This window comes from Homo sapiens, chromosome 22 (genome assembly GCF_000001405.40).
Source record: "Homo sapiens chromosome 22, GRCh38.p14 Primary Assembly".
In the NCBI taxonomy this organism is placed as follows: Eukaryota; Metazoa; Chordata; class Mammalia; order Primates; family Hominidae; genus Homo; species Homo sapiens.
In genome coordinates, this window is record NC_000022.11 from 29,619,782 (window position 1) to 29,638,799 (window position 19,018).

Consider the following 19,018-nt stretch of genomic DNA (forward strand, 5'->3'; position numbering starts at 1 on the left):
GCGTGCTGATGAAGGGGTGCGAAGAAACAGATGCTGGCTAGTGCTGCCCTCCACTGGACCCCATTCTGCCTTTGTGTGGGACAAAGGGCTAGGGACTAGCAGTTACTTTGTGCTAGGTACCATGCTAAATGCTTTAAATGCACACTACCTCATTTGATATAACAGGGACTCATTTATTCATTCAAGAGATATTATAAAATAGGCTAGGCACAGTGGCTGACACCTGTAATCCCAGTGGGAGGCCGGGGTGGCCAGATCACTTGAGGCCAGGAGTTCGAGACCAGTTTGGGCACATGGTGAAATCCTGTCTCTACTGAAAACACAAAAATTAGCCAGGCGTGGTAGTGGGCGCCTGTAGTCCCAGCTACTCCGGAGGTTGAGGCAGGAGAATTGCTTGAACCTGGGAGGTGAGGGTTGCAGTGAGCTGAGATCGCGTCACTGCACTCCAGCCTGGGCGACAAGAGCGAGACTCTGTCTCAAAAAAAAGACAATAATTAGGCGTGGTTGTGCGCACCTGTAGTCCTAACTACTTGGTAGGCTGAGACAAGAGGATCACTTGAGCCCAGGAGTTCGAGGCTGCAGTGAGCTATGTTCGTACCACTGCATGAAGCCTGGGTGACAGAGTGAGACTCTGTCTCTTTTATTTATTTGTTTTTTAAATAATAGAGACAGGGTTGGCCGGGCATGGTGGCTCATTCCTGTAATCCCAGCACTTTGGGAGGCTGAGGCAGGTGGATCCCTGAGGTCAGGAGTTCAAGACCAGCCTGGCCAACATGGGAAAAACTCGTCTCTACTAAAAATAGAAAAATTAGCCGGGGGCAATGGCATGTGCCTGTAATTCCAGCTACTTGGGAGGCTGAGGCAGGATAATTGCCTGAGGTGGAGGTTGCCTGAGATTGAGCCACTGCACTCCAGCCTGGATGACAGGGAGAGACTCCGACTCCAAAAAAAAAAATAGAGATGGGGGTCTCCCTACGTTGGTTGCTCAGGCTGGTCTCAAACTCCTGTGCTCAAGGGATCCTCCTGCCTCAGCCTCCCAAAGTGCTAGGATTATAGGTGTGAACCACCACACGCAGCTCTGATTTACTGGGTGCCCACGTTGACCAGGCAGGGAACACCTCCTAGCAGTGATCAAGGACTACTTTGGACCTAGGTTCTGTAACTGACTTCATCTTTAAGTGGGGAAACAGAGGCTCAGACAGGATACATAGCATGCTTAAAGGCTTAGTGCAGCCACTATCTATTCTGAAAGAGGCAGAATAGGACAGGGACAGGTAGGTAGTGAGAGAATAGGGAGAATAGATGGGCACACCCTTTAACTTAATATCGACCAGTAAAGCCTGCAGTTGCTTATTTGAACCTCACATTGAGGCTGACATGTAAGTTGAGCAAATCTTAACTCAAGCTTCAGTTTCCTTGTTGGGGCCGCTGAGGCAGCATAGCCTAGAGATTACAAGCATAGACTTCAGAGTTTGATTCCTGGCTCTGCCTCTAACCAGCTTTGCAACCTTAAAGCTCCTTAACCCCCTCACATGCCTCTGTTCCCTAACTGTAAAATGGTGAATGTAATTAATTCTTCCTGCATAGTGTTACAAGAATTAAATTTGAGTAATTACTGGTAAAGTACGTAGAATAGTACCTAACACAAGATAAGTGCTATATATAATGGTTGTTACCTAAAGAAATAACAGCCTGGGCAACATGGCGAAACCCTATCTCTACAAAAAATACAAAAATTAGCCGGTTGTGGTGGTGTGCACCTGTGGTCCTAGCATCTCGGGAGGCTGAGGTGGGAGGATCACATGAGCCTGGGAGGTCGAGGTTGCCATAAGCTTCCTGATTGCACCACTGCACTCCAGCCTGGGTGACAGAGTGAGACCTTGTCTCAAAAAATAAATAAATAAAATAAATTAAAAAAATAAAAAGGAAATAAGTTCAGTGCCTGTCGTTAGCTTGCTCCCTTTCTCAGCCTCTCCTCCACTTCCTCACGCACCCTCTTGCTCTGAGCCTATTATCCTGGTCCCTCCTTCACACTGCCACATCTTTGCATAGGCTGTTCTCTTTGCCTGGAATGCCATTCTCATTTGTTGCTTGGCAGAACTGAACTCATTCTCCTTCTAGGCTCTGCTCAAGGGTTTCCTCTTCTTTGTGTCCAAAGTCACCACATAGCTTCTAAGTGATGGGACTGAGATTTGAAGCCAGGTCATCTGTCTTTCAGGCCAGCCCTCTTTCCACTACCCTATGCTACCCAAATAGGAAGCGTAAAAGAGAAGTAGGAGAGAAAAAGTTAGAAACCTGGAGAGAACTTAGGTATTTGGTAAACAGGAAAAAGAAAGTGGAAAGAAGAGATCATTTGAAGGACTTCCTCAACTTAACAACTATTTGCCTATGGCATTATTTTATTGCATTTGGTGTATGATACTATCTCAAAAGCATTTTGTAAACTTGCCAGTGGCTTACATTTTTGCCGGATGAATGACATGACTAACGATCCGTGCTACATTACCTCAGTGTCTAGTTTGTCATTTTGAATCAAGTGGACATTTTCTGTAAGTGAATCATTTTCACTTGCTCATGATATAATGAGAATTCCTTACCTTTGGCTTAAAATGAGGCTTATGTTATAACAGTTAAGCATTGTCTAGTTGCATATTTAACATAGTCAGAATGCTCCTGCCTGTATTCAGCCTGGTGTCTTATAATATTTGGTATGCCCACCTAGATAGCAATTGGTAACATCTTTATTCTGAGACTCTTTCATGTATGGATTTTGAAAAGTTAGTTAACTGTTCAGACGACATTGTTTCTTTGACTTTTACAATCCGCTTCCCTCTCACTGACAGTTCAGTTTTGGAAGACCCTGTATTTTTTTTTTTTTTTTTTTTTTTTTTTGAGACAGAGACTCGCTCTGTCGCCCAGGCTGGAGTGCAGTGGCGTGATCTCTGCTCACTGCAACCTCCACCTCCCGGGTTCAAGCAATTCTCTTGCCTCAGCCTCCTGAGTAGCTGGGATTATGGGTGTGCACCACCACACATGGCTAATTTTTGTATTTTTAGTAGAGACGAAGTTTCACCATGTTGGCCAGGACGGTCTCGATCTCCTGACCTTGTGATCAGCCTGCCTCGGCCTCCCAAAGTGCTGGGATTACAGGCGTGAACCACCGTGCCCGGCCTTTTTTTTTTTTTTTTTTTTTTCGAGATGGGGTCTCACTCAGACTGGAGTGCAGTGGTGCTATCACAGCTCACTACAGACTTGACCTGCTGGGCTCAAGTGATTCTCCTGCCTAAGCCTCCCAAGTAGCTGGGACTACAGGCACATGCCACCAATACCTGGCTAATTTTTTTGAAGAAATGGGATCCCGCTATGTTGCCTAGGCTGGTCTGGAACTTCTGGGCTCAAGCGATCCTTCCGCCTCAGCCTCTCAAAGTGCTGGGATTACAGGCATGAGCCAACATGCCCAGCTAGAGATGTGTGTGAATTGGTAGCTTCAAGCTAGATATTGGAGGCTCATGAAGCCCAGGTTAAAGAGGCTTGTATTCATCAGATGCGATGAAGAGCTTTGAAGTTTTTACTAGAAGTGTGATTTAAAGTGGTTGGCATGCAAAATGATTTGGAACGTTTGGGGTTTGGGGTAGGGAGAGAGAGGTTGGAAGTAGGAAACAATTAGAAGGCAAACGCTTTGGGCAAGGTATCACATTGAAACCTGAACAGCAGTGGGACTTGCTGGGGGTTGGGACAAAACTAGGCAGATGTAAGCATCTAGTGAATCTAGAGATTAGGGTGTTCTGTGACCAAGAATGAGCAGAAGACCTGCTAGGCTCAAGATTCAGGAGATTCTCAGGTCCAAAGCCAGTCCTCAGTCTCCGAAGTCAGTCAGGCAGAAGGGAAGTTGGATCAAGCTGGCCAGAGTTGAGCTCAGGAAGTCAGTGCACTTTCTCTTGTCTGGTTCCTGCATCGTTTTACTTGTGTAAAATCATCAAGATCCCTAAACCGATGTCTGAACACCAGGCTTCTAGGCAGAGCTCCACCGTGTGACCTTGGGCGCATCACTTATTTCCCCCAGGCCTCAGTTCTTCTGAAAGATGAGGGGAAGAACTCACATTCAAAGGCCCTCAGCTTTAGCGTCTTATTTTAGGTGATCTGGGCAGAAGAGTCTCACTGTGCTCCTCTCCCTTTCATATTTCCTGCTTTGGTAGGAAGTCATCTCAAGACTTGAGTGTATAGGCATGAGGAAGTCTGCTAGAGGACAGGAAGAATATTGCTTAAAGAATAAGAGCTACAGCCCTGATGGAAGGGGTAAATTGGCCTGGGAAAAGCCCTGCCTCTGCTACCTGCTTCCCAAGTGACCTTGAACTTAACTCTTTAAACCTCAGTTGCTGCATCTATAAAATGAGAATAATAGTATCTTTTTTATAGGGTTTTTTTTGTTTTGTTTGTTTGTTTTTAGACGGAATCTCCCTCTGTTGCCCAGGCTGGAGTGCAGTGGCACGATCTCGGCTCACTGCAACCTTTGCCTCCCGGGTTCAAGCGATTCTCGTGCCTCAGCCTCCTGAGTAGCTGGGATTATAGGAGTGCACCACCACGCCTAGCTAATTTTTGTATTTTTAGTAGAGATGGGGTTTTGCCATGTTGGCTAGGCTGGCCTGGAACTCCTAACCTCAAGTGATTCTCCTGCCTTGACCTCCCTAAGTGCTAGGATTACAGGTGTGAGCCAACGTGCCTGGCCAGGGTTGTTTTGAGACATGAATGAGGTGGACCTTTACAGGCACTTGGTTCAGGGCCTGACCCGTAGTGAGCATTTGATAAATGTTACCTATCTATGTTGTCATGGGCTGGGAGTGTGGGAACAGGAAGTGTCTCATGCCAGAAGCACTGTGAATTTTCTCCTTTAATCATTGCCTTCATTTTCTTTGAACCTTATTCAGATTGTCCATGCCTTTGTAATTGTAGACCCTCTAAACTATAATTAGTCCAAATAAAATGGACTCACCTTATGCCATGTTCTTGTTGAAGGGTCCTCTTTCTTTCTTTCTTTCTTTCTTTCTTTCTTTCTTTCTTTCTTTCTTTCTTTCTTTCTTTCTTTCTTTCTCTTTCTCTCCTCTTTCTGTCTCTCTCTTCTTTCTCTCTCTCTCTCTCTCTCTTTCTTTCTTTCTTTCTTTCTTTTTCTTTCTTTCTCTTTTCTTGCTCTATTGCCAGGCTGGAGTGCAGTGGTGAGATCTCGGCTCACTGCAACCTCCGCCTCTGCCTCCCAGGTTTAAGCGATTCTCCTTTCTCAGCCTTCCGAGAAGCTGGGACTACAGGCGTGCGCCACTAATTTTTGTATTTTTAGGAGAGACGGGGTTTCACCATGTTGGCCAGGATGGTCTCGATCTCTTGACCTCGTGATCCACGCTCCTCGGCCTCCCAAAGTGTTGGGATTACAGGCACGAGCCATTGCACCCGGCCAGATCTTCTTTTTTGTAACATGCTAAGTAATACAATCTCTATTTAGCTTGATGTCCACGGTGATAGCAGGATTCTTTTCGGATTTCTGCCATAGTTAATTATTCTGCATTCTTTTGTCCCTAGTGTGTCATATTGAAATTTTTCTTTTTTCTTTGTTTTTGATGACTTCTCCAGTTATTCATGCTAGTTTTGCATTCCTGTCCAAGAACATTTTTGCTGCTTGTTTATTTTTAATTTCATAAACTAAAGCGTTTGAGGTTTTAAAAACCCAGAATTGAGTTTTCTCAGAGCTGCTAATCTTTCTAGCCAGCTGGTGACGAGGCTTCTCAATTCTTGTTACAGGATGATGTGTTCTGTCCTCCTGTCTGTGCTTTGTCTAATTTAGATTCTAAATCCACATGTTTAGGACATTTTTAGCGTGTCAAAATTTATTACCAAAGTAGTGCTGACTTCAGGGAAAAATTTTTAATGGAATCTTTAGTCACTCATGTTGACACAAGGTGCTTGTCCTAGTGCAGGAATCTGTGTGGCACCACTAGGTGGTGCCAGACTGCATCATTTTTAAAGACAGCCTTTTCTCTTCCAACTCTTTTGCCACTGTTCTCTTTTTTGCTTCTTTGCCAAATTTGGACCGAGCTTTGAAAACTTCATATAAACTTTCTCTTAGTGAGTTATGTTGCTTATAGCTTTTCCCTCCACCTTGCCTGTTTTAGTCTTCTTGTTTCAATAGTTTTGATAGTTTGACATTCAGATAAAACTTAAAACTGAAGCCCAAAGTAATTACTAAATGTATCTCGACTGATCTGTGGTTTTAAATTCACCAACAGTGCATCTCCCTACTTGCTTAATCATATTGATTTTGAGATTAAATCAGTCTCATAAATATGTTAGTCTTCAGCCCACGGTAGTTCTCATCCATCTGCAGACTTTTTTTTTTTTTTTTTTTGAGATGGAGTCTAACTCTGTCACCAGGCTGGAGTACAGTGGCGCCATCTCAGCTCATGGCAATCTCTGCCTCCTGGGTTCAAGCGATTCTCTTGCCTCAGCCTCCCGAGTAGCTGGGACTACAGGTGCTTGCTACCACGCCCAGCTAATTTTTGTATTTTTAGTAGAGACAGGGTTTCACCATGTTGGCCAGGATGGTCTCGATCTCTTGATCTCGTGATCCACCCGCTTCGGTCTCCCAAAGTGCTGGGATTACATGTGCGAGCCACCACGCCCAGCCCCATCTGCAGATATTTTTACCAGTCCTATCCACTCATGCCTGTACCTTCTAATGTTATTAAAGTCAGTTTTATTATCATTGATGACCATGAGACTTAATCAAAAGGTCAAGCTAGAAACAGAGAATATTCAAAATTTCTTTCCAGGCAAACATCTGGGTTCAATAGAAGCTAGTTCACATGAATGGATCATGCTCTAGCTCTGTTGTGCTGGAGCTTTTTTGAAGGAATGCATTGTTACATACTAACCACAATTTTTACATTGTCCAGGGCAGGAGTAACCAGTTGGTTGATACTTAGTCAGGGGTTGTGTTTCGTAATCTGCTAGTTGTACTTGATGTTTAGGCATTTGAAATTTAACCTTGTGCCTTATTTGTGCTGAATTTACTATTGTTTCCTATTTGTAGTGCTCTGCAAAATTATTCTCAGTATATCACACATTTGTAATCATTGCCAATCACTGAATATCAATAACATGCTAGGTGATAAGAACTTCTATTTTTCAGCAGCATTATCATTCCCAATTTTACTACATCAGAGAGTTCATCATTATACAGTCAACTCATGATTATTAGGAGTAAGGAACGTAATAGCAGACCCTGAATGAGGGAAAAGAATGTGAAACCACACATAAACTAAAGGTGAAGTCATTTACATCCCTGAAAATGATTTTAAGATACAGAATGAGATGTTAAAGGATCAAAAGAAAATTATCGTAGCAATGAAAAATGCTACATGGTTTATACAAAGTCATGTCAAGCTCATAGACTCAGAGAGTGGTGTTAATCCTGAAGACCACTTGATGATTATGGAAGCCGAGACCCAAAGAGGTTAAGTGACTTACCCAGCACAGCGGGTTTGGGTGTTTTATAGCTGTTTGACTATATGAGCTATGATTGCTCTCATGTTGTGAGCTAAATTCCAAAGATATTGTCGTGTTTGCTTTTGTGGGGACTGTATTGCTTTCATAGCATGATGGTTGTATTGTTTCTTTTTGCTTTGTCATCTGTCAGTCAACTTTGAAGTGAATCTTCTTTGTTTACAGCATAGTAAAATATGGTGATTGCATGGCTCATAAGAGATTTACAAATGAAGAAACTGAGGCCCGGTTGAGCTGCATGGCACACCCAAGTCATAGACTTGTGTGTGGTTGAGGCAGAGAATCTAGGATACAGACCTCCCTGCTGGGTTCCTCCCGCTCCCATAACTGCTCTGCACTTCAGCGGGAAAGATGCCAGAAACTGCAAGCATAAGGCCTTTTTTTCCCCTAAAAAACTGTAATTCATTTGGTTTTGAAAGACTTACCAGAGTTTAAAAGCTCCATTTTGTGGCTTCCCAAGGTGCTGTGATTTGTTTCTTACTAGTCTCCTTTGTTCTGTGGAAAATTTTCTTCTTTGGTTGTTTGAGATTTAGATTTCCTTGCCAAGGTATTTTTAGAGAGAGGAAATCAGTATGTTTCACCAAAGGGGTAAAATATATACCTTAAGGCCTAATTATGCAATTACATTTTTAATAACGAGTGTCATAAATTCTTGCTTCATTGCAATCATTAATTGGAAGACTGTTCTGCTCAGAAGCCTCATCTAGTTATCATGATTATCATCAACATCGTCAACCAACCACAAGCATCAAGCATTTATGGAGTATCCACAGATTATGCAGCACTTGCCAGGGTTCTGGGAGACTTAATCTGTGTGTGTGTGTGTGTGTGTGTGTGTGTGTGTGTGTGTGTGTGTACACCCTTGCCTTCAAGGAGTTTGTGATCTGCAGAACTGGAGGAAAGACAGAAAACTTGGGGAAAGACAAGTACCTCATTTTTCAATATGTGTAAAGCCCATACTGATTCATGTATGTGGCATTGGGGGACATGGACAGCAGGGAGACAAAGGGATAGATCTTAGAAAGGTCTAGTTACAAATAAATGGAAGCACATAAGTTTGCTGACATGGGAGGACATAGGCTGGGTTGTAATAAGGTAGGGTAATTGGTTGAAGGAGGGAGGAAGAAATTGGTGAAGAGTTGAAGGCAGTAATTAAATAGATTTGGCATAATAACAGAGATGATTGGAGAACTGGGAGAAGAAAATTACTTGCTGTAGTTGATTATGGCAGAAACTGACAGGGCAAGAGATTACAGTTGGGATTTTTTGCAAAGAGGAGCTTTCAAGTTTGTGACATCTTTTTTTTTTTTTTTTTTTTTTTGAGATAGTCTTGCTCTGTCACCCTAGCTGGAGTGCAGTGGCGTGATCTTGGTTTACTGCAACCTCTGCCTCCCAAGTTCAAGCGATTCTCCTGCCTCAGCTTCCCAAGTAGCTGGGACTACAGGTATGCGCCACCACGCCCAACTAGTTTTTGTATTTTTAGTAGAGACGGGGTTTCACCATGTTGGCCAGGCTGGTCTCGAACTCCTGACCTCAGGTGATCCACCTGTCTCGGCCTCCCAAAGTGCTGGAGTTACAGGCATGAGCCACTGCGCCTGGCCTCCAAGTTTGTGAGATCTTGCCCAGATTTAAATGAAGGATGTGGGGTTCAGGATTGGTACAGCAGAGGAAAAAAGTCTCTCTCTCTCCCCACTCCCCTCTTTTTGCTGTGATCTATTTTTTTTCCCACACTTTTCACAGGTGTTGTCCTGTGATCTATTTCTATTTGGTGGATCTCTTTTCCCCTCATGTTGAGAATAATGGCTGAGGTGTGGTGTATCCTTTAATTTTGAAAGGAAACGGCATGATGGTTTTGCGGTTTAATCATGAGACACAAGAACAGCTTTTGTTGTGTGGTGATACCATACCCTGAATTGAGATTATCAGTGTCAGACATATATTACTGCACTTTTTTATCTTCTTCGCTTAATCAAAATAGATTTTAATGGAATTTATTATTCACTTACTGTACAGTAAAATTACTTTTATAACTTTCCATTGTGTTTTTCTTGTAAATTGAGGTATTTGGCCTCTATTTTTCAAAACAGACAAAAGTTGTATTCAGGTTAGGTTTGGATCTGGTATATTAGCATCTTAAATTCTCAAGTCTCCTATAAACCTGTTCTCTTAGGCCAGCTATGGCTGCAGAAGTCAGTTATAGATAAACATTGAGAGGGGAGATCACATCATCCTTTGTTTTCCATTTCTGAAATAACGGCAGACACGTGGCACATGTCCTGAGCCTGGGGTGGTGCCGTTCCTTTTGTTGCTCTATCTGTATGGGAGCTAACCTTTTGACAATTTTTATGGCAAATGCTAGGGCAGCTTGTGAGCTAATTAGAAGAAACTGATAAGTGAATGCTGAGTTTGTCGATTCTCTTTCATTTTCTGCAGAGGAGACAGCCGTTGAAACGGCATTCTTCGTGTGGCTGATAATTTAGCCCACCAGACCCCTATGAAAGGGAATATTGCTTCTCTCTTAGCTTTTTCCACATTTTAGTATTCTCTTTAAAGCCAACATTTCTCCATAGGTTCTAATACCTAGGCATTTCATATATAGTAGCCAAATTCAGTTCACTTTCTTCAAGAAAGTTGTCCTTTTCAAACTGTGGCCTTTTCCTGTCATGGGTCTGGTTTCTTACTCACCCCGCACTGTTGTATCAGCAGGTACTAGGATTTGATTGCTGATGACTGTATGTCCCAAAGAAAACAGTGGGAGAAATGCAGCTGTCAAAGCAAAAAACAAATAGCAGTTTTAAGGTTGAGTCTCAACCTGGCCAGTTGCAAGATGGCTGTTCAGTAGATGTTATTCCTAATGCTTCCCTGGTTAATAGAACTCAATCAGTCCTGCAGGTTATTGGTGCTGGTTGCTTCCTATAACAGAAAAGTACTGCATTCCAGCTACGTTCCTGCTGTGGAACATAAGTGCTTAGTGCTATTTACTTAAAACATTCTAGGTTGATAAATTACAAGCCCTTCACTCTGGGTAAAGCTCATAAATCCAGCTCCTACAAAAAAAATAGCAAGCTGATAGCACTTAGTCCTGTTTATAAAGTTCATACACATCTATCCATGATATAGGCACAAGTATATATCTATGAAATAGCACTGCAGCCTGTTAAAGTAATGGGTGAGCACAGCCACAAAGGCGAGAAGCATCCGACTTCCAGACTCCTCCTATTAGTCTCTATGCCTGAAGGGCACCTTGAGGAGGAGGTCTGTGGAAGGGAGCTTCCAGGCATTGGAGTCCACATTTGTGCTCCTTTCTCTCTTTCTTCTTCCCGCAAGTCACCTTTCTCACGCCCTCCACCTCTCTCTTTCCTTCTGCAAAATGAGCATCTGCCTCTTAGCCTCCCTCTTCGTCACTAGGCTGAGATGAGGCAGGGAACCGTGGTGGATCCAGAGCAGTTTGAACACTTTGGCTGCGTGGAAAGCGATGGGGTTAAATGAGCATTTAATCAGAACCAGGAGCTGTTCTTTTGGCAACCTGTTGAGGAAAAATGATAAACCCTAACAAAAAGGCCCTCAAGTGGCACGAGTGCAGGGCCTGAAAGCGTTACGTGCCATCAGTTATCCAAAAAGAACATTTTTTAACCAGAAAATAAACATGAGACTCATCCCACTAGTCCTAGGTTCTTGGAGCCCCACAGGTATTGTTGCAGGATGCATCATTGCTTCGAATCAGTGACTGAACAACCCAGTTCCTAATCAGCGTGGAGAGTCAGAATTGTCACACGCACTGGGCTGAAGCTGCATATTCAGTACTGCATTGAACATTCAGTACTGCAGATAGGATAATTATGCTGTTTGTCAGATACTAGAAAAGTGCAAAGAACATTCCTTCACTTTGCAACAGCTTGGACCCAAGTGGCAGACCTGCTGTTCCCTCAGGCTGGCGTGACCTCCCTATTGTCAGCCCCTTCACCACAGCTCAACTACCCCCCTGGCTTTCAAGATACAGCTCAAACAGCATCTCTCCTCAGGAAAGACCTTACTCCCGGAGACCCAGGCCCGAGTTGTGTTGCCACTGTACCCTGTTCTGTTAGCACTTACCAGGTTGCATTTTTGTGATCCATTTACCTGTCTTCCCTGTCAGACATGAACAGGGACAGTGTCTTGTCCTCAATTCATCATTTTTCTCCTGTTTTGAGCACAATGACCAGGACGTAGTGGATGCTCAATAAAGGTTTGTCAAATGACTGATAGTATGGTTAGCTCAGTGAGAATTGATGGTGCCCTTTGTGATCTGTCATCCATCATCCTTGGTGTGAAGCAGGGCTGGGAGGCTTTAAACAGTGCCACTTGAGAATCTAAGGAGAGGTGGCAGAGTTACAATTAACAATAACTACCCCTTACTGAGTATTTATTTGCTATGGGCCAAGCACTCTCTTAGGGTTTTTAAATGAATCAATGCACTTAATCCTTAGATCAATCTGCTAAGACGAGTTCTGTTTATTATCCCCTTTGCAAAGCACAAGGAAGTTCAGTCACTTGCCCAAGGTCACACAGTGACAGTGCAGAGATTCATACCAATGGAGACAACCATCACTTATCTATATTCCTTTTAGACTAGTTCCTGGAAAGATTAAGCCCTCATGTCCTGAGGCATCCATCTTAGGTAACAATTTAACTTCTCTCTTGTTTCTAGAATGGTATTAGTGTGTTCCCTACTTGGGAGAATGGAGAAAATGGTCACCAGATAACTTTCTGTGTTTTTTGGTTCAGATGAGATAGGTAGAGTTAGTTGACAAAGAATTGATTTTATGTATTTATTTTTATTTTGTTTTTTTTGTTCTTGATTTTAGATGGTAGTTTCGGTCCTTTTGGAAACATAGCATTATCCTCCAGCCAGACTGAACTATCCTACTCCCATTTCCTGTAAGGACGACTGACCTCTTTTTTGCCTCTAGACTTGTGCATATGCTATTCCCTCTGCCTGGAACATACTTACCTGCTTGCTCCTCTTTCCCCAAGCCCAGTCTTCACTTGGTTCCTCTTTTCTACCATGAGCCAGTTTAGATGTCATTTCCCTACCTGCCCAGGATAGGAGGTTCCCACAGCCGCTGGGTGTCCTGTTGTGGCACTCACAAGTGTTATAGTGCTGAAAGCCCACTCCTGGGGTTTTTATGTGTGCGATGAAGGAGGTGATTATCTTTTCCCAGCTAGTTCATATCCTAGTCCTCTGAGTGTAGAGACTTGTTTCTTTTTCCCCATTTGTCCCCTGCACCTTGGGCGGTGCTTGGACACAATGTGTGTGTTCACTAACTATTTGTGGAAGAGGTGGGTGAGCGGGAGTTAACTGGCTTTAAGTCTTTGAGTTTTGGGTTTTTGAAGTAGTCAAGTCCGTCCACAGTCCGTCCTGTGGACAGCCATTGTTTGCCATGTCTTGTATGTACACACTTGCCTGGGCACTGTGGGGAGCAGAAAGAGGACTAATACTGCCCTTGTGCTGAGGCACCTACAGTCTCGGGAGATGTTCAGAGGACAGTGAGTCACTTCACAGCATCAGCATGGTATAGTGGATGAGTGATGACACTGAAGATGAGCTTGGTCATATTCTGGCAAGTTGGCTGACACCTGGAAGTCCCGTCCACACCCCAAGACCTCTTTTCCCAGGGTGTCCTGAGAACCACCCAGAGCAACTGTGACCAATGGCGCTTGTTTTTAAAGAAGTAGAAACCCAAATTAGGAAGACTGAGCAAACCTCATGCATTTGGGGAAGGGCTTGTTGGAAAGTGGAACCTGATGTAGGTAGCAACATGTTGAGGTTAGATTTAACCAAACAGAAAGACTTCTTAATTGCTTAAAGACAAAATTTTATTTTATAAGTGGAATTAGGGCTTTAAATCAAATATGTTTGAACGTCTTTACTTGGTTTCCTCAGGCACCTTCACTCATCTTGTCTAAAACTTAATTGCTGGTCTATCCCTGCCAGATTTGCTGCTTCTCCTTGATTCCATCTCTCCTTTAGTGGAACCACCTGGTACTCAAGCCAGACACACAGGTGTCCCTCTTAATTCTGTCTCCTCTGGTCCTGTTCAGGCACCTGTTCTGTGACTCTGCCTCTTTTCCGTTTCTCAGGCTGCCTTCTCTCCCTTCTACTGCCTTCCTTATGTCAGGGGTTGGCCTACTTTCTGGCCTTCTTGATCCAGGGCTTCTTTTGTTCAACTCATACTCCACCCTGTTGTCAGAGCCCATCCAGATTGCAGATTGGAGCCTATGACTCGTCTGCTCAAGGGTCTTCAAAGACTTTGCAGCTTTTGGCTGAAGTTGAGCCACCTGGTCCCAAATGGAGCCCCATTCCCGCCATGCCACCTCCTGTCTGTTTAAGCTTTACAAGATGACTTGCAGTTTCCTGTAGAAAGCATGACTTTTAAAAAAAGACTTATTTCCTTCTCTCCTGCATCTAACTCTCACTTGCTCTTTAAAGCCTTCTCTGACCTAGGTCTTGCCTGTTTCTCCTGCAGAACACTGCTTCCACCATTTTGTAGCATCAGTGTCTAACATTGGTTGGCATGTAGGGTGTGCTCTATAATCCTTGTTGAAAGAATAAGTGGGAGGTAACAGAGGCTTAATTCACATTGAGCTGTAAACGAGCAATATCTGACTCTTCTGAGAATGGATTTTGTTTCAAACACTGGTTACTTACTGGAAAAGGTGTCTGGGGAGTGCTGGACAGCAAGAACAAAGGGACCCCACAGAACAGGAAAAGAGGCACTCTAGGGTCTGCGGTTTGCCTATGTTAGATCACCGTGAAAAAGGCCAGTGTATGCTTTGGCAGCTGGCAAAGAATCCTGTGACTCAGTTTCCTTATTTGCACAAAAAGGGTATGAGTCTACATTAGGTAATTACTCATGCTCATTTCCAACTCTTGACAGTCTACGATCCTTTGTGTCAAAGTTAAAAATCTAAGTAGGGCATTCTGAATTGGTGTCAGAGTTGATGCACTTCTCACTGTATTGCAAGTGCCAAGGGGACAAATACATTGTCTTTTTGCATTCAACAAAGACAGTTTTGCATTTTAAAAACAAAGTAGAAGGGAATACAGGAAAACTGCATTAATACAATTTTATGCTGGAGAATTTAAACTCCCATGTCAGGAAATTCACTCATCATTCCCTTGGCAGCTTTTGTTTCTCTGCACTGCACACCCCACTTACAGACAGCCCCTTCTTGCCAAAGCCCAGCCCAGCCATGACCATGAGTTATGGCAGATTGGGAATCGTTACCTTGATCTTCTCAACCCTTGGGTGTTTACCTTTTCCAAGTTAATGCCTGTTCTTTAATGTTACATTATCTTGTAGCAAGGTAGTCATTTATAATTTATATACTAGAGCTGCCTTAAAATAGAGACAAGAGGATAATCAGCATCCTGAAACTTCTAGTTTTCCAAAATAACATTTCTTCAGTGAAGTCTGCCTGTAGGAATTAAAACTTTTGGTGAATTAAAAAGCTTTTTGTCCTATTGTCAGACTGGGAAATGGATGTGCCCATTACTCAGCCTTAAAAACGAGGAAGGAGATCATCTGTTAAAAATAAAACTCATCATTTTCTTTTATTCTTCTCAAAATAATCCCTAAAGACCTCAATCTTTATAGTGTTCCAGTGGCCCCACTATAGTCAGAGAGGAGACAGGGCAGAAGTTGAAGGACAGATAGGAGAAACGGCCCTGCTAAAAGATAAAAGCCAGTATGCATCTCAGCTACTTGTCTGCTGTGGTCCTGATATTCTTCCATCTAGGTTGCTGCTTTGCTTGACTTTGACTGCAAACACAGAGAAGGGATGGGCTTTCCTGTTGAGTACCTTGTAGAGAACCCACTGTTCATTCATATGTGTTAAAAATGAAAAGCCTACTTGAAAACTCCCCTGTAGAATCAGGTTTTAGCAAAAACCAATCAGGTATCAGAGGTCTAACTTATTTTTCCCTTCTTGGTTTTATAGCAAGTCTCTAAACCCTAAGATTTTTTGTTTGTTTGTTTGAGATGGAGTCTTGCTTTGTCGCCAGGCTGGAGTGCAGTGGCATGATCTCGGCTCACTGCAACCTCCGCCTCCCGGTTTCGAGTGATTCCCCTGCCTCAGCCTCCCGAGTAGCTGGGACTACAGGCATGCGCTACCACACCTGGCTAATTTTTTAGTATTTTACTAGAGACAGGGTTTCACCATGTTGGCCAGGATGGTCTCGATCTCCTGACCTCATGATTCGCCTGCCTCAGCCTCCCAAAGTGCTGGGATTACAGGTGTGAACCACCACGCCCGGCTGCCTAAGAATTTTTTTCATTCCTTTTCATTATATACATCTTCAGTGTGCCAAGACTTTGAGTGGAGATTTCTAATGAGGGCAGGAAGGGACGGATGCTTCTGCAATTGAGTGGTCTCATTTTTCCCATGTCTGTCGAAAGATTACTCTTTCATGACCACCATTTCTATGATGCATCTCATATGATCCTAATGCACTCGAGTTTGTATTTGAATGTCCATCTGATATTTAGGGGTGGTTGGGGCAAGGAGGGGGCAAGCAGCAACTAAGGGGTTGTATGGGAACATCCTGGTGGTTTAACTTGAAAGCCACTAGGTGGCAACATTTACTAAGTTGCCAGCCATTCTCTTCCCTTAAGACATTGAACTTGCTTTTCCACATAGCAGATGGAATAGCTGAGAAAAGAGATTGCCATTGCTTCAGGTTCTTTTGAAAGTGAGGCTATAGGATAAACACACTACAGTATATTGATATCTATTCGTCACCTGGGTTTAGATACCAGGAGTTTGAATTTGCTCTGGGTGACTGGGTGAGTAGCTTCCCCTTTGGCCTCAGTTAGGCATCCTTGACAGGACAGACCTGTGATTGGACTGTCTGGTCTCTCATGGTTCTTTTTCTCCATGATTTATGACTTTGATTATGATTTCTTTATATTAAAAAAAAACTTGTAGTAAAACCAGTCTTATTTAAAGGAATACTAGCCTTTTATCAAAGGGCAAAGTAATGATTTAAAAAAAAAATCAACAACAAAATTTCAAGGGAATGAATGTCCCTAGAAGCTAGCCATCTCCCCGAGTTAACTTAAGAGGCTAGACTCTCCTAAATGAGGATGCTTATTTACCAGCTTTCCTAAATTAGCAGCTTTGGAGATGTTAAAATCCGTAAGGAACTGTCCAAGGGATGTATTGTGTATGCTTTGCAGTGATTAAGCCATTAAGCTCTAATTGGTATTTTCCCACTCATGGGTTTGTAAAGGAAGCTTTAAAATTATTTAGGAATTCAGTCCTCATCAGCTGTCTTAGTGTCATCCCCACGTTTTGGAACCTGAGAGTGGAGAGTGCAGAGAAAAGGTTTTATTAATGATTTTTGCTCACAGTGTCCTTCCCCATTGGTTTGTTATTGCAGATGAAGTGGAAAGGGAAGGACCTCTTTGATTTGGTGTGCCGGACTCTGGGGCTCCGAGAAACCTGGTTCTTTGGACTGCAGTACACAATCAAGGACACAGTGGCCTGGCTCAAAATGGACAAGAAGGTTGGGCTAGAACTCGATGAAACTGGTGGGGCTGACGTGAGCTTTCCAGTTTTTCCCTGAGCAGGCGCCTAGCTCATCACTGGGGCGCTGTAGCTGTATAGTAGAGAAGGGGGCACATTCCTGAATTAAGTCATGCAGAAAGCAGGACGTAGAGATGCTACCAGTTTCCTTCTCCTCACAGGCTCTCCTGGGCAAGCAGAAGTTACCAGGATTAGACTGCTGCTGGCCCTGGCTTCTTTACCCATTGTTACCAGCCTGATTGCTTCTGGCTTTATGCCTTTCAGTTTATGAATAAAAACTTCATGAATAAAAATTACTGTTATCTTCATATACTTAAAAATAACCAATTTGTGTCTTTTAGAGAGTATTGGGGCTTGTGTTCTTTAGGGAATTTTTTAAAGTCTTTTTGAGGAACACCATAGTCTGACATGAAGTAATCATTAATATGATCTAAGGAATAGAGAGTGCCTGGTCCCCAGGGTGAAAGAATGTCCATTTTGTCCTCAGGATTCTCTGGGGCTTCTGACACATGGCCAAGAAAGCTGGGCTCCTGGCAATTTTAATGTGGCTTGGAAATGAATATTGCCTAAAGGAACTGCCCTCTGCATGGGTTCATATGTTCACACAAGGATACACTTGCTTACTGACCTGCCTACCTAGCCATGAAAGGCAGGCGGGGAGCAGGACCATATGCTTTTGTCAGTAACTCCTAAAAGACACCTGAACTTCAAAGTAAGTCAATGTCTAATTCTTACCCCAAATGATGCCCCCTCCAGTTGCCTACCTGAGCATAATAAATAATGAAAGCTTCCTATTTTTTTTTTTTTTACCAGTTTGACTCAAAGCTTAAGTGTTCGAATTGTGTTCACATATGTACACAGTAATCTAAATAATCACATGGGAATCCCTGCTGGTTGTAAGTTCAATGGTAATTCCCAATGATCATGAGCATCTAAGTGCCACTGGGGGCCACTGTCAGTGAGGGTGTCGTAGACCAGATTTTGAATCTCCTTGGCATTGCCATCTAGAATTTGGGCAGGAGCATGGAGAGTTATGTGTCAAAGACAGCAAAACTTTTTGTATGTTTTTCATGATTCTTAGCAAAGTGAATTTTAATGATAGCTGAGTGTAGGCCAAATGGATATTAGACTGGGGGCATCAGGAGCCGTGGAACTTGCTGCTCAAGGGAAATACATCATGACACATGTTAATGGAGCCTTGTAGCCTGTCACATGGCGTGTTTATGTCTTGAAATTCACTCTGGAGAGCAGATGGTTCAAGCTTTACAGGGGTGAATGGAATTGTTAGAAGATTTAAAGGCAGTGGTTTACAGACTGTGCTTCAAGTATTTTGTGGGGCATCTCTGGAGGTTCCTTGAAACAAAGGGTTGCCATGATGGACACATTTTATTCTGTTGCTCAGTTAATGTTTAGATGACTTCATAATGATCTAGTTCATCATCTCTAAGCTGTATTTTTTTTTTTTTTTTTTAAGACAGAGTTTTGCTCTTGTTGCCCAGGCTGCAGTACAATGACGCAGTCTCGGCTCACTGCAACCTCTACCTCCTGGGTTCAAGAGATTCTCCTGCCTCAGCCTCCCGAGTAGCTGGAATTACAGGTGTCCACCACCACACCTGGCTAATTTTTTGTATTTTTAGTAGAGATGGGGTTTCACCATGTTGGCCAGGCTGGTCTTGAACTCCTGACCTCAGGTGATCCACCCGCTGTGGCCTCCCAGCGTGCTGGGATTATAGGTGTGAGCCACCACGCCCAGCGCTCTAAGCCGTATTCTATCACGGACCTAAATATTGGCAGTAGGCACCAAGAAAAAAGAAATAAAGGAAGATTCCACTACTTCAGATAATTAAAAAACCTTCCACCTACCATAAAGGACAGTGTCCAAGACTGCTGAGTGATACATTTC

The 19,018-nt window shown here is 43.3% G+C and overlaps 1 protein-coding gene across 26 annotated transcripts in view, besides 1 other annotated feature; it reads left to right on the plus strand.

The window, feature by feature from the left end:
* NF2 (NF2, moesin-ezrin-radixin like (MERLIN) tumor suppressor) overlaps positions 1–19,018 on the plus strand; it is a 95,045-nt gene that overhangs the window by 16,226 nt on the left and 59,801 nt on the right. For 14 of the 26 annotated variants that reach the window (NM_016418.5, NM_001407065.1, NM_181832.3 and 11 more), the window contains exon 2: positions 16,970–17,095. The exons of 7 other annotated variants lie outside the window; for them this stretch is intronic. In NM_016418.5, coding sequence (NP_057502.2) covers positions 16,970–17,095 — 126 coding nt within the window. Of the gene's footprint in view, positions 1–8,847; positions 8,993–16,969; positions 17,121–19,018 lie in introns of those variants that run through there. 5 more of the 26 variants (NM_001407056.1, NM_001407053.1, XM_047441386.1 and 2 more) reach the window with 3 other exon arrangements.
* Positions 11,061–11,560: an enhancer, noted in NCBI's record as "H3K4me1 hESC enhancer chr22:30026831-30027330 (GRCh37/hg19 assembly coordinates)". NCBI's record gives its function as "activates a minimal SCP1, AML or CMV promoter by ChIP-STARR-seq in naive H9 embryonic stem cells {active_cell/tissue: H9 hESC(naive)}" and the evidence as "EXISTENCE:reporter gene assay evidence [ECO:0000049][PMID:30033119]".